This window comes from Homo sapiens, chromosome 17 (assembly GCF_000001405.40).
Source record: "Homo sapiens chromosome 17, GRCh38.p14 Primary Assembly".
Lineage (NCBI taxonomy): Eukaryota > Metazoa > Chordata > Mammalia > Primates > Hominidae > Homo > Homo sapiens.
The window spans coordinates 1,106,606-1,120,899 of record NC_000017.11 but is presented as its reverse complement, the minus strand read 5'-3'; the positions used below and the strand labels follow the sequence as shown (position 1 = coordinate 1,120,899).

General features: G+C 58.0%; 1 protein-coding gene across 5 annotated transcripts in view, besides 1 other annotated feature; it reads left to right on the top strand.

The window, feature by feature from the left end:
- ABR (ABR activator of RhoGEF and GTPase) overlaps positions 1-14,294 on the top strand; it is a 226,204-nt gene that overhangs the window by 108,823 nt on the left and 103,087 nt on the right. Inside the window, exon 1 of one of the 5 annotated variants that reach the window (NM_001092.5) lies at positions 11,798-11,966. The exons of the other annotated variants lie outside the window; for them this stretch is intronic. Coding sequence (NP_001083.2) covers positions 11,832-11,966 — 135 coding nt within the window. The 5' untranslated portion in view covers positions 11,798-11,831. Of the gene's footprint in view, positions 1-11,797; positions 11,967-14,294 lie in introns of those variants that run through there. 5 annotated transcript variants of the gene reach the window in all.
- Positions 5,528-6,171: an enhancer, noted in NCBI's record as "NANOG-H3K4me1 hESC enhancer chr17:1017969-1018612 (GRCh37/hg19 assembly coordinates)". NCBI's record gives its function as "activates a minimal SCP1, AML or CMV promoter by ChIP-STARR-seq in naive H9 embryonic stem cells {active_cell/tissue: H9 hESC(naive)}" and the evidence as "EXISTENCE:reporter gene assay evidence [ECO:0000049][PMID:30033119]".

Genomic DNA, 14,294 nt, shown 5'->3' with positions numbered 1-14,294 from the left:
AAGCTTAGTAAAAAGGGGCTACAAGGCAGAGAGAAGAACTGGGTTTTGTCCCCACTCTACCACTGTCTCACTGTGTGGCCTGAGGGGTGTCACTCATGACTCCCCACCAGAGCTGCAGTTTGCTCATCTGTAGTGTGAAGACACTGAGAATTTCCTCCCTCCTGACCTCACAGGGCTCAAACCTCACAGCTGTTGTGAGGTTTCTGTGAGATGGTGTTTGGCAGAATGCTTTGTCAATGTAAAATCGAAACAGGGGATTAGACTCCAGCCTGCAGGAGAACCCAAAGATAAGGGTGGAGGCGAATTGAAATCCTCACCATTGGCCGGGTGCGGTGGCTCACGCCTGTCATCCCAGCACTTTGGGAGGCCGAGGTGGGTGGATCACCTGAGATCAGTAGTTCAAGACCATCCTGGCCAGCATGGTGAAACCCCGTCTCTACTAAAAACATACACAAAAAATTAGCTGGGTGTGGTGGCAGGTGCCTATAATCCCAGCTACTTGGGAGACTGAGGCAGGAGAATTGCTAGAACCCAGTGGGGGCAGAGGTTGCAGTGAGCTGAGATCACGCCATTGCACTCCAGCAGCCAGGGGGACAGAGTGAGATGCCATCTCAAAAGAAAAAGAAAAAAAGGAAAAAAAAAATCATCATCATTGTCCCTATCATCCTCTTCCTCCTCCTCCCCCTCATCACAGCTGCTTAGAGAGGCTTGTGCTGAACCTTTCACGTGTTGGTTTCATTTAAGAGCCCCAACAACTCTATGAGGTAGGTGCTATAACCATCTCCACATTACAGGTGCGAAAACTGGGGCTCGGAGAGGTGACGTAATTTGCCTAAGATTAGCTGGGCATGGTAGTTCACTCCCATAATCCCATCTACAAGGGGAACTGAGGCAGGAGGATCGCTTGAGCCCAGGAGTTGGAGGCTGAGAGGTGCTAGGATCACGCCTGCGAATAGGCATTGTACCCCGCCTGGGTGACAGAGCAAGACTCCATCTCTTAATAATAGCTATTAATATTATTGTTTGTCCAAGACCATGCAGCCAGTGGGGCAGCGTGTTATTGAAACTTGGGTTTCTATGATGCCAGAGCCTGCACAGCGCTGTCAGGTCCCGCTCACACGCCCTCCCTTGTGAAGCTTTCACACCCACCCCGCCGCTGATCCTACTGCAGTTTGGGAGGTGTGCACGGTCACTTGTGGGGTGCATCCGCCCTGTGAGATCAGGACCTTAATCCCTGATCATCTCTGTGGACCCCAGTGGAAGCTTCTTGGCACCTAGGGGTTCTCAACTGGTATTTGTGGAATGGAACCAAGTAGTTCTGGGATGTTCAGTCAGGAGGAAGGGAGGAGCAAGGAAGGCTCAGGCAATAACGCTGGGAAGAACTCAGGCTCAGGGATAACGCTGGGAGGAACTCAGGCTCAGGGATAACGCTGGGAAGAACTCAGGCTCAGGGATAACGCTGGGAGGAACTCAGGCTCAGGGATAACGCTGGGAGGAACTCAGGCTCAGGGATAACGCTGGGAGGAACTCAGGCTCAGGGATAACGCTGGGAGGAACTCAGGCTCAGGGATAACGCTGGGGAGGAACTCAGGCTCAGGGATAAAGCTGGGGAGGAACTCAGGCTCAGGGATAACGCTGGGAGGAACTCAGGCTCAGGGATAACGCTGGGAGGAACTCAGGCTCAGGGATAACGCTGGGAGGAACTCAGGCTCAGGGATAACGCTGGGAGAACTCAGGCTCAGGGATAACGCTGGGAGAACTCAGGCTCAGGGATAACGCTGGGAGGAACTCAGGCTCAGGGATAACGCTGGGAGGACTCAGGCTCAGGGATAACGCTGGGAGGAACTCAGGCTCAGGGATAACGCTGGGAGGAACTCAGGCTCAGGGATAACGCTGGGGGGAACTCAGGCTCAGGGATAACGCTGGGGAGGACTCAGGCTCAGGGATAACGCTGGGGAGGACTCAGGCTCAGGGATAACGCTGGGAAGAACTCAGGCTCAGGGATAACGCTGGGAGGAACTCAGGCTCAGGGATAACGCTGGGAGAACTCAGGCTCAGGGATAACGCTGGGAGAACTCAGGCTCAGGGATAACGCTGGGAGGAACTCAGGCTCAGGGATAACGCTGGGAGGACTCAGGCTCAGGGATAACGCTGGGAGGAACTCAGGCTCAGGGATAACGCTGGGAGGAACTCAGGCTCAGGGATAACGCTGGGGGGAACTCAGGCTCAGGGATAACGCTGGGGAGGACTCAGGCTCAGGGATAACGCTGGGGAGGACTCAGGCTCAGGGATAACGCTGGGAAGAACTCAGGCTCAGGGATAACGCTGGGAGGAACTCAGGCTCAGCGATAACGCTGGGGAGAACTCAGGCTCAGGGATAACGCTGGGAGGAACTCAGGCTCAGGGATAACGCTGGGAGGAACTCAGGCTCAGGGATAACGCTGGGAGGAACTCAGGCTCAGGGTTAACGCTGGGAGGACTCAGGCTCAGGGATAACGCTGGGAGGAACTCAGGCTCAGGGATAACGCTGGGAGGAACTCAGGCTCAGGGATAATGCTGGGAGGACTCAGGCTCAGGGATAACGCTGGGGAGAACTCAGGCTCAGGGATAACGCTGGGGAGGACTCAGGCTCAGGGATAACGCTGGGAGGAACTCAGGCTCAGGGTTAACGCTGGGGAGAACTCAGGCTCAGGGATAACGCTGGGGAGGAACTCAGGCTCAGGGATAACGCTGGGAGGAACTCAGGCTCAGGGATAACGCTGGGGGGAACTCAGGCTCAGGGATAACGCTGGGGAGGACTCAGGCTCAGGGATAACGCTGGGAAGGACTCAGGCTCAGGGATAACGCTGGGAGGAACTCAGGCTCAGCGATAACGCTGGGGAGAACTCAGGCTCAGGGATAACGCTGGGAGGAACTCAGGCTCAGGGATAACGCTGGGGAGAACTCAGGCTCAGGGATAACGCTGGGAGGAACTCAGGCTCAGGGATAACGCTGGGAGGAACTCAGGCTCAGGGTTAACGCTGGGAGGGACTCAGGCTCAGGCAATAACGCTGGGAGGGACTCAGGCTCAGGGATAACGCTGGGAGGACTCAGGCTCAGGGATAACGCTGGGGAGAACTCAGGCTCAGGGATAACGCTGGGAGGAACTCAGGCTCAGGGTTAACGCTGGGGAGAACTCAGGCTCAGGGATAACGCTGGGGAGGAACTCGGGCTCAGGGATAACGCTGGGAGGAACTCGGGCTCAGGGATAACGCTGGGAGGAACTCGGGCTCAGGGATAACGCTGGGAGGAACTCGGGCTCAGGGATAATGCTGGGAGGAACTCGGGCTCAGGGATAACGCTGGGAGGAACTCGGGTTCAGGGATAATGCTGGGAGGAACTCCGGCTCAGGGATAACGCTGGGGAGGACTCAGGCTCAGGGATAACGCTGGGAGGAACTCAGGCTCAGGGATAACGCTGGGAGGAACTCAGGCTCAGGGATAACGCTGGGAGGAACTCAGGCTCAGGGATAACGCTGGGAGGAACTCAGGCTCAGGGATAACGCTGGGAGGAACTCAGGCTCAGGGATAACGCTGGGGAGGACTCAGGCTCAGGGATAACGCTGGGAGGAACTCAGGCTCAGGGATAACGCTGGGGAGGAACTCAGGCTCAGGGATAACGCTGGGAGGAACTCAGGCTCAGGGATAACGCTGGGAGGAACTCAGGCTCAGGGATAACGCTGGGAGGAACTCAGGCTCAGGGATAACGCTGGGAGGAACTCAGGCTCAGGGATAACGCTGGGAGGAACTCAGGCTCAGGGATAACGCTGGGAGGAACTGCAGCCTCTTCTTCCCTTTCTTGGTCTCTTCAGAAGGCTTAGGGCTTGGGATTCGAGGTTGCTGGTAGGTGCGTGAAGAGGCGGCATGGCAGCCAGGAACTCCTGAGATGGTGCCTGCTCCACTCCCTCCTGACTGCTCCGGACCTGGGTTGTGTGGTTCAGGGACTCCTCGAGTTTCAGCCTCCGCCCCCCAGCAGCCGGCCCCTGCATTTCTCCCCTTCCTGGATCTTGGGTCCCTGCTGCAAAGAGAAGGACACGAGCTGGACCCTCCCGTGTGCCAGGTGCTGTGCTAGGAGCCCAGGGGCTGCCCTGCCACCCAAGTCCTCCAGCCATGGGGCTGCCCCCGTTTAGTAGATGAAGACACTGAGGCTCAGGGTGGCTCCTGGGCTTGTCCCAGTTGGGAAGGAGGTAAGTCGGAAGTAGGTAGACTAGTGCCTTGGTTGTGACCCTGGGTCCCGTCATCGCTGGCTCCCGTCCTCTCTGGCCCTCCTACATTCACACCTGGCTGGGATCTTGCTCACCTCTGCATACTGTTAATCTTCCCTGATGAACCACACCTGGCTGGCCTGGCTCATCCCACAGCTCTCACGCCCTGTCTGGGATCTCCGTCTTCTGGCTAGCTAGCAGCCCTAGAGTTGATGCCGTAATTACCCCCATTCTATAGATGAGGAAACGGAGGCACAGGGAGACTAGATGACATGCCCAGGTCACACAGTTGGCAAGAGGCAGAGCTGGGGCTCACATCCAGAGTGCAGGGGAGTTTTCTTTCTGTTTTAGTTTATTTGTTTCACTGTATAAACAGTGTTGTGTACCGGCTTCTCCTCAACATTAGCTTTATTTTATTTTATGTAATTTATTTATTTGAGATGGCGTCTCCCTCTGTCACCCAGGCTGGAGTCCAGTGGCGCAATCTCGGCTCATTGCAGCCTCCGCCTCCTGGGTTCAAGTGATTCTCCTGCCTCAGCCTCCCAAGTAGCTGGGATTACAGGCCACCACATCCGGCTAATTTTGTATTTTTAGTAGAGATGGGGTTTCATCATGTTGGCCAGGCTGGTCTTGAACTCCCAACCTCAGGTGATCCGCCCGCCTCGGCCTCCCAAAGTGCTGGGATTACAGGCGTGAGCCACCTCGCCCAGCCTATGTATTTTATTTTTTTGAGACAGAGTCTCCTTCTGTCACCCAGGCTGGAGTGCAGTGGTGTGATCTCGGCTCACTGCAGCTTCCGCCTCCCGGGGTTCAAGTGATTCTTCTGCCTCAGCCTCCCTAGTAGCGGGGATTACAGGCACCCGCCAGTACGCCTGGCTAATTTTTTGTATTTTTAGTAGAGACGGGGTTTCACCACGTTGGCCAGGCTGGTCTTGATCTCCTGACCTCAGGTGATCTGCCCGCCTCGGCCTCCCAAAGTGCTGGGATTACAGGCGTGAGCCACTGCATCTGGCCAACATTAGCTTTATGTAGTTGAACTATGTATATGATTTTGGAGTGACCTGTACTAGAACAGAGAGGAGGCAGAGGGAGGAGCAAGGTGATCTGGAAGGTGACGAATCCAGTCCCATCTGTGGCTGCAGTTAGTGGCTGCAACTGCCCTGGCACTTGCCCTTTGGTGTCAGTTCCCATTGGCTGAAGAGCTACTGAGCTTCATACAGTCTGGAGGTGGGGCTTGAGTTTCTGCCAGGAAAGCTGGGAGAGCCAGGGAGAAGCCAAGAGGCGGGAGAAAGTGCTTCAAGCCGAGGACCTGCCGTTGTTAAAGGCCTGGAAGTGAGAACGTGCCAGGCCCTTTGAGAGGTTACTGTCAACAGTGAGATGGGTGAGTCATCAGCTGGGGCCCCACGGCTCTTGTTTGGGCTGGCTTGGTGGCTTCCTGCTGGGCATAGAGTGAGCAGTGTTTTAGAAAGAGTCATCTGATGTCAGCAGGAGGGATGCAGGATGAATGTCCTGTCACACCTGTCCTGAAATCCTCCAGCACCTTCCCTTCGCCTATGGGGCCCCCCTTCCCTTTGCACAGCTGTCAAGGCCTTGTGTGACCTGACCCCTGGACCCCCTGCCTACCTCTGTGGCCTCAGGACCAACTCCGTGCTAGAATTGTGAACTCTCACGAGAGAGAGATTTTGTCGGTTTTGTAACAAAACTTGCTCATTGCAGTCTCTGGTGCCGAGAACTGTGCCTGGCACACAGTAGGTGCTCAGTAAATATTAGCTGAATGAATGCATGAACCAGCCAGACTAAACTCATGTCATTGTGCCTCACATAGTCTCTCTCCTGTCTGTTCCCCAGCCCCACCAGCATCTCTAACCACTGCTTTTTTTTTTTGAGACGGAGTCTCTCTCTGTCACCCAGGCTGGAGTGCAGTGGCGCGATCTCGGCTCACTGCAACCTCCGCCTCCTGGGTTCAAGCGATTCTCCTGCCTCAGCCTCCTGAGTAGCTGGGACTACAGGCGTCCACCACCACGCCTAGCTAATTTTTGTATTTTTAGTAGAGACGGGGTTTCACCGTGTTAGCCAGGATGGTCTCAAACTCCTGACCTCAGGTGATCTGCCTGCCTCAGCCTCCCAAAGTGCTGGGATTACAGGTGTGAGCCACTGCGCCCGGCCATAATTTTTTTTTTTTTTTTTGAGACAGAGTCTTGCTCTGTCGCCCAGACTAGAGTGCAGTGGTGTGATCTCAGCTCACTGCAACCACTGCCTCCCGGATTCAAGGAATTCTTGTGCCTCATCCTCCAGAGTAGCTGGGATTACAGGCCTGTGCCACCCCTCCTGGTTAATTTTTGTATTTTTAGTAGAGACAGGGTTTTACCACGTAGACCAGGCTGGTCACGAACTCCTGAACTCAAGTGATCTACCTGCCTCGGCCTCCCAAAGTGCGGGATTAAAGGCGTGAGCCACTGCGCCCAGCCTAATTTTTTTTTTTTTTTTGAGACAGGGTCTTTCTCTGTGGCCCAGTCTGGAACACAGTAGCACAAACACAGTTCATTGCAGCCTCAATATCCTGACCCAAGCAATCCTCCTGCCTCAGCCTCCCAAGAAGCCGGGACCACAAGAGCATGCCACCACACTCAGCTAATTATTTTTTAAAATTTTTATAGAGATGAGGTCTTGCCATGTTGCCCAGCTGGTCTCAAACTCCTGGGCTTGAGTGATCCTCCTGCCTCGGCCTCCCGAACTGTTGGGATTTCAGGCGTAAGCCACTGCACCCGGCCTATATGTATAGTTTATTCGTGGACACAAATAAGGAAAAATGTATAACTAACTCTTAGAGGCTCCCTCTGTCAGAGGGAACCAGAGGAGACTTTCTCTTTCTTTATTATGTGTGTCTACAGAGTTAGAATTGTTAGTGATGTAACAGGAAAATAAAGAAGTTAAAATAGAAGTGCCACGATTGGGAACGTAGAGTGGGCTCTGAGGGCACCAGCGGGCACATCTGACGCAGCCAACGGGGAGTCACGGGAGGCTCCCTGGAGGAGGTGACGTTTAAAGTCGAATCTAAAAATAAGCAGTGGGCCAGGTGCCGTGTCTCACACCTGTAATCCCAGCCCTTTGGGAGGCCGAGGCGGGTGGATCACCTGAGGTCAGGGGTTCGAGACCAGCCTGGCCAACATGATGAAACCCCATCTCTACTAAAAATACAAAAATTAGCCGGGCCTGGTGGCGGGTTCCTGTAATCCCAGCTACTTGGGAGGCTGAGGCGAAAGAATGGGTTGAACCGAGGAGGCGGAGGTTGCAGTGAGCTGAGATCATGCCACTGCACTCCAGCCTGGGTGACAGAGCGAGACTCCGTCTCAAAAAAAAAAAAAAAAAAAAAAAAAATCGCAATAGGTGTTTCCATGTTATCCCTTCCAGAAAAGTGGCACCTCAGCTGCAGAGTTCTGACACTGCTCCCCTCCCCAGTACGGCCTTGCCCCTCCCTTGACACTGCCTTGGGAGTCAGTCACCAGGTCAATCTGTCCCTGAGACTGTCAGCTCCGCGAGGGTAGGCACGGGGTTCCCTGTCCATGGCTGCATTCCGATGCTAGCACACTGCCTGGTGCACAGCAGGCGGCTAACAAATGCTTGCTGATTGGGTCAGGCGGTTAACAACTGCTTGCTGATTGGGTCAGGCGTTAACAAATGCTTGCTGATTGGGTCAGGTGGTTAACAAATGCTTGCTGATTGGGTCAGGCGTTAACAAATGCTTGCTGATTGGGTCAGGCGTTAACAAATGCTTGCTGATTGGGTCAGGGAAGGAGGGAATGGAGGGTGGGTGTGGGGGAAGACTGTGGGGAGTCAACCATTGGAGACTGAGATTTAGACTTGATGGTGTCAGAAATCTCAGTGGCTGCGAAAGATTTCAAACAGTAGCTAGGTGTGGTGTGTGCTTATGCCCCTCACCCTCCATGATGCTGTTCAGCCCACTTCTCCAAGTTCATCTTCTGTCCTCTAGCAAGCAGCGCTTCTTAACCTGCCTTCCTTCCTCTCTTCCTTCCTTCCTTCCTCCCTCCCTCCCTCCCTCAAGACAGAGTCTGGCTCTGTTGCCCAGGCTGGAGTGCAGTGGTGCGATCATAGCTCATTGCAGCCTCCAACTCTTGAGCTCAAACGATCCTCCCACCTCAGCCTCCTGAGTACCTGAGATTTCAGGTGCGCCACTGCAACCGGGTTGCTGAAGCTGCTTAACCCTTTCCTTTCGGGCCTTCTCTTCTTTGCCTGGAAACCCTTCCCTATTTCCAGATGCTACTCAGAAGCCACTGTCCTGTGAAGCTTTCACTCTCAGGCAGCGTTAGTGCCACTGTCCTCCATCCCCAGGGTGGCTGGTAAACGAGAACACTGCCTCGTGTGTTCACACGTCCTCACCCCAGACGGATCGAGAGCCTGAGAACGGCAAGGGCCCCGTCTCCCAGCCTCGTATGTGTGCCATGCCAGGCCTTTTCTGGGTATGAATGAATGAATGAACAGACAGATGGACAGACAAGATCAGGAGCCAAAGTGGGGAAGTACGTGTGGTCGTGTGGGTGTAAGAGGCTCTAAAGCTTGGTGGGGTGGTGGCTTTGGCAAAGGAAAAGAAGAACCGAAGGACTTGGTAAAAGGGATGTGGGGGTTGAGGGAAGGAAGACTCGTAAGATGGCGGCCGCACTAACAGAAGTGGAAACCCGGAAGGGGAAGCTGTTTCAGAAGGAGGAAGGGTCCTTTGGTCCAGATGTGTGGAGTGGAAGGGCCGTGGCTGGGCTTCCAAGTGAGGAGACCCAGTGGCCGGGGCAGGTGCTAGACCTAGAGCCCAGCAAGACACCAGGGCTGCAGCTGGCAGCGGGCCACCACTGGCCTGGAAGGGAGAAGGGCTGCTTCTCTGGGGGAAGGGAGCAGAGGGCTGAGGCTGGGCCCAAGCAAGTGACTCCACATTTACAGGAGGCGGGAGAATGAAGGGCCAGCCTACACCAGAGAGTGGTCGGGGCAGTGCCTGCATCAACAGGGCAGCTGAGGGCTTGGAGAAACTCTAGACTGCAGAGGCCAAAGAGTCGGAGAGGGAGGCCTCTGGCTTTGGAATAAACCGTTTGGGGGGGCCTTTGAAGCAGGCTGCTTCTATGGAGAACATTAGGAGCCAGGCCGAGGCAGATGGAGTGTGGAGCTCAGGTCCAGGGCTGGCTCAGGGCATTTGTCAGGGAAGGGGAGGGAAGCTGTGGGGACTGGTGAGTCACTTCCCCTCCAGGGGGGCACCGAGGGCCTGTGAGTGGAGTCTGTGTCTGATGGAGGGGCACTCTCATTACTCACTGGAATTTCCAGCCACCGGGGACAGGGTGGAGTAGAGAGGCCCTGGATACTCAGGGAGTCACTTGTGTGGGGTTCAGGGATTTTGGGAAGAAGTGGGCGTCAGTCTCACCATGCCGTGTAGAGGTGTGGGGAACGGGGACGAGGATATCCTGGCAGACTTCCAAGGGCACCTCATGTCCTCTTGAGTGGAGGAAGGAACACAGCAGGGGCCTGTGGGGTTTTAGGCCCTTCTTCGTGTCACCTGCAGGTCTGACTCATGTGGGCAGCCCATGCCATGCACTTGGAGCCCGCCGGGCGGGAGACAGAAGAACCCGTGGTACCAGGCCCTGAGCTGGCATACTTGTGCCCTGGGGAATGCCAGGCCTGGTCGTTCCCAAGCCCTCGCCACAGCCTCACCCGCCCGCACCAAATGAGGAATTGTGGCTGAAAGGGCCCTTCAGATGCGCCCTGGCTATTTATAACCCACCCAGGCAGGGACAGGGGAAAACCAGGGGCTGGAAGGAGATGGGTGGGGTGGGGGTGTGCCTCTGTTGAACCCTGGTGGCACAGTTCCCTGATCAAAGGCTGTTAGCCCTGGGGCCCCTCAAGGGCTCACCCCGCAATCCCCTGCTCTGTATTTCAGCTCTGCAACAGGATGGAGCCTCTCTCCAGGGAGGGCAGCTTCTCTGCTGCCAATGGAATTGCATGAGCCCCACCTAGAGCCCAGAGCTTCTGAAGAATTCTGGGGGGAGTGGGGGGCTGTGGCCTGAACTCGGGCCACAGGTGTGGTTCATTTAGACGGCACCATGTTGTTTTAAAATGTTAATTATTTGCCATCGTTTTAAAATCAGGAGCATTCCTGTTAATAAGCCAGATTTTAGCTTATTTTGAACAGAGATCAGGCAGCCATGAGCTTGCGTTTCCTCCAGCAGCCATCGGCTGGAGTGAGTGGTGGTTTCACCCTGCCCTACCTGGCTCGCTTCACCGGCTGGCCTCACCCGCAGGCCTCACCCGCACCCTCATGGGTGCCGTTTGCAACCTTTGCTCCATCGTTGGGTTGTAAAAGAGCTTTTCCCAGGGCCTCCTCTGGACTCCTCCTCCCATGGAAGGAGGTGTATGTGCATCTGGGAACTAGGGCCAGGGGGACCAGAATGTGGCCTCACTCCCTGCACAGTTGGGGGTTCTGCAACCATTGGAGAAGCCAGGGGAAGCTGGCTGGGAGTGGGCAGGGCCGGAGATGGTGCCTGTCCTGGGTTCTGTGTGCACTCCCCTTGCAGGATGGCTCCCTGCGGTGGGGTGGCTGGGGGGGCTGCTTGGAGGAGGTGGGGGTGCTGGTCTCAGCAGTGCCTGTGAGTAGGTGGGAGGCTGCTCAGAGGAGGTGGGGGTCCTGGTCTCTGCAGCGCCTGTGAGTAGGGGGGCTGGTCTGTGAGTGGGGGGGCTGCTCAGAGGAGGTGGGGGTGCTGGTGTCAGTAGCGTCCGTGAGTGGGGGGACTGCTCGGAGGAGGGGGGCTGCTTGGAGGAGGGGGATCCTGGTCCCTGTGAGTGGGACGCCCACCGCTCCTGTGCAGGACAGTGGTGGCGCCGCGCTCCTGCCTGGGGGCAGGTCAGGCCTGTCTGTTGCAAAGCCTGACTCCTCCAGCGGCGGCGGGACGCGGCTGTGGCTTCTGGGCGGGCCGGGGCCTCCCCTCCGGAAGGGGGCTCCGGCGCATGGGGACTCCGGGGTGGCTCTGGGGGTCGCCCCTGCTCGCCGGGCTCCTGGCTCGGCCGCGCGCGGGGAATGAAGATGCGTCTGGGAAGCGGCCTCCCCGCTCCACCCCACCCCGGCCCGGCCGCGGCCTCCTCGCTCCTCCTCCGCCGCAGAAGCCTCCGCCAGCCGCGGCCCCGCAACCCCAGAGGACGGGCGGCTCCACCTCGCGACGCGCGTTTCCTGTGTGTTCGGAGCGAGCGCGAGCCCGAGCCCCGGAGCCCGGGAAGGGCGGGCCCTGCGGGGCCGGGCGGGACACGGAGGAGGGCGCTGGGCTGCTGTGCGGCGGGTTCGCCTCCGCCACGGGCCGGGCACGGCGTCAGGGGCTGCCCGGGCCTTGCTCCCCCTTTCGCCGGGCGAGGACGCGCGAGGCGGCGGCGGCGGCGGCGGAGCGGGCTGGACTAGGTCCGGGATGCAGTCCCGGGTCGGGAGCCCCAGGCCGGGCGCGCGGGTGTAGACCTGCCCCCCCTCCCGCCCGCCTCCTCCCTCCTCCCTCCTCCCGCCGCCGCTGCGTGGACCCCGCTTCCTGTCTGCCCTCCGCGGGCTCCGGCTGCCATGGAGGAGGAAGAGGAGGCGATAGGCTTGCTGGACAAGGTTCTGGAGGACGAAGATGTGTTTCTCCTGGAGGAGTGCGAGCTGGGAACCCCGACCAGCCCCGGCTCAGGGTCCCCCTTCCTGGTGGCTGTGAAGGTGGGAGCGTGACACGCCCTGGGCGCTGGGGGGGGCCGGGCCGGCGCTGCCGAAGGTGCGCGGGAGAAATGGCTGATGCGGGCGCAGAGCGCGCGGCCGGGTGGAAGCCCTCGGCGGAGGGTCCCGGCCCCGGCAGCTGTTCCCGGGGGAGAGGGGCGGGCCTGCCTCCCCGACCGGTGTCCTCGGGGCAGTGGTGGCCGCCCCCTCCAGGCCAGCCCAGCTCAGGGCTCCGGCGGCTGTGCCAGGAGTCACCTGGCGCGCCTGTCAGCCCGAGCCTCGCCGCCTCCCTGGAGCGGGTGGGCAGGAATCCCCCGTTTCCACGGCAACCGCAAGAGAGGGGCCACCCTCTTCCCAGCCAGGAGACAGGGACTTGGTGTCTCCGAGCTGAGGCAAGAGGGTGTTTGCAAAGGGCAAGAGCCAGAGGTCACTGAGCTTCCTTGAAGGAAAAGCACTGGGTCAGCTGAAGGGGGGAGGGAACAGCTGGCTTGGAGGCTGCAGCCAGGTGGGCAGGTGCCCTTCCCGAGGCGGGACAGGCAGGGAGCATCTGCTGGGCCCTGGCCCACCCGCTCTGGGGCTGACGGCGTTCTCTGCAGCAGTGACCCGTCCTGTAGGAGAGGTTGGCTCCCGGTGGAACTGGAGGGCAGTGGTGGCCAGAATCCCTTGAGGAGCGGGGCGGCCCCGGAACCACGCCGGCTCTGTGAGTCTGGCCCGGCACACCACAGCGGTCTTCCTTTTTCTCTCCTGGACACACCTCTCAGAGCTTCCACCTCAGCCTTTTGCTCAGCTGCTCTCTGGTTCTGTGTCGAGAAGGGAGGCCCAGTGAGGATGCGTTTCGGGGAGTTTGCAGACTGCTAGGCGAGGCTGCCTAACCGAGTGCCCATCGGCGGGGCCTAGAAGGCATGTGCAGCCAGCATTGCTGGGGACGGGAGGCTGTCCCTGAACCTCTCTGGGCCTCCCTGCCCCTCACAGAAGATGGGGATCACAGTCCTGCCCCACCCACTCTACAGTGTGGCTCTGAGGAGGAGCCAATGGAGGTAAAAATAGATGCAGAACCACGGGAGATGGCTGATGTGTGAGTATGGGTGGAGCGGTGGCTGCAGGCCTGGGTGGGGAGTGGAGCTGTAGGGAGGCTGGCAGTGGCTGGCACCCCACCCTGTCTTCTCTGATCTGGTGCTGGCGTAGGGCCGTGGGGGTAAGTCACGTCTCCCCGTGGGCTCAGGGAGGCCTCTGCACTTAGGGTCTGACCAGCCTCCCCACTAGGAACAGGGTGGGAAAGTCTGCTCCTGAGCCAGGAGTCAGGCTGGGAGTAGCAATGCTGGGATGGGAGGTGTGTGGCCCTCATGGGCCTCCTCTGGGAAGCCCCCAGCACAGATGTGGGCCCACTCAGAGGCTGCCTCCTGGACCTCCCCTTCTGCTGGACCCCGGCGTATGCCTCAGCTAAGCCCGTATTTCATTCTGCTCAGATGCTCAGAACTCTAGACATTTGCCTCCGCAATTATATCCCATTCTCCTGGAGGACCAGGACCATGTCATATTCATTGCTGAACACTGCACAGTGCTTGGTGTGGGGCTGGTGCCTGTGAGAGTCTGCACAATGTGTGAGGCCCGCTGGGGCCCACGAAGGGTGCACCAGGTTCCCAGCCTCGCTCCATCTCAGAGGTGTCCTGCTGTGTACGGCGGTGGCCCACGGATGCCAAGAGAGCCTGAGCACGTGTCACACCTGAAAACGCTGCTCCTCCTGGGTCCCCGTGAGCACCGGGATGGTGTCTTCCCCTCTACTTTGCTGCCAGCATGGGGGAAGGAGACCTTTCTCGAATGCCGGGGAGTTCCAGGCTCCCTGCTCCATCCTGAACACCTCTAGAATTCCTCCCTCCTCTACCGGCATTGGCCTCAGAGGGAGAAGACAAGCAGGTGGCCACAGAGCGGTGGGAAGAAAGCTCCTGGATTCATTCAACAAACACTCTCAGGTTAGGTGCTCTTCAGAGCACCCTGCCTGGCACTGTAGAGATGACAAGAGGAACAAGGCGTGATCTTCCCTCACAAGGCGTTCAGAGCAAGGGGCAGGTACAGGGAGTAGGAATAGAGTACGGAAGTAGGCAGGGTGGGCCAGATGCGGTGGCACACGCCTGTATTCCCAGCACTTTGGGAGGCTGAGGTGGGCGGATCACCTGAGGTCAGGAGTTCGAGATCAGCCTGACCAATATAGTGAAACCACATCTCTACTAAAAATACAAAAATTAGCCGGGCGTAGTGGTGGGCGTCTGTAATCCCAGCTACTCAGGAGGCTGAGGCAGGAGAATCGCTTGAACCTGGGAGGCAGAGGTTGCA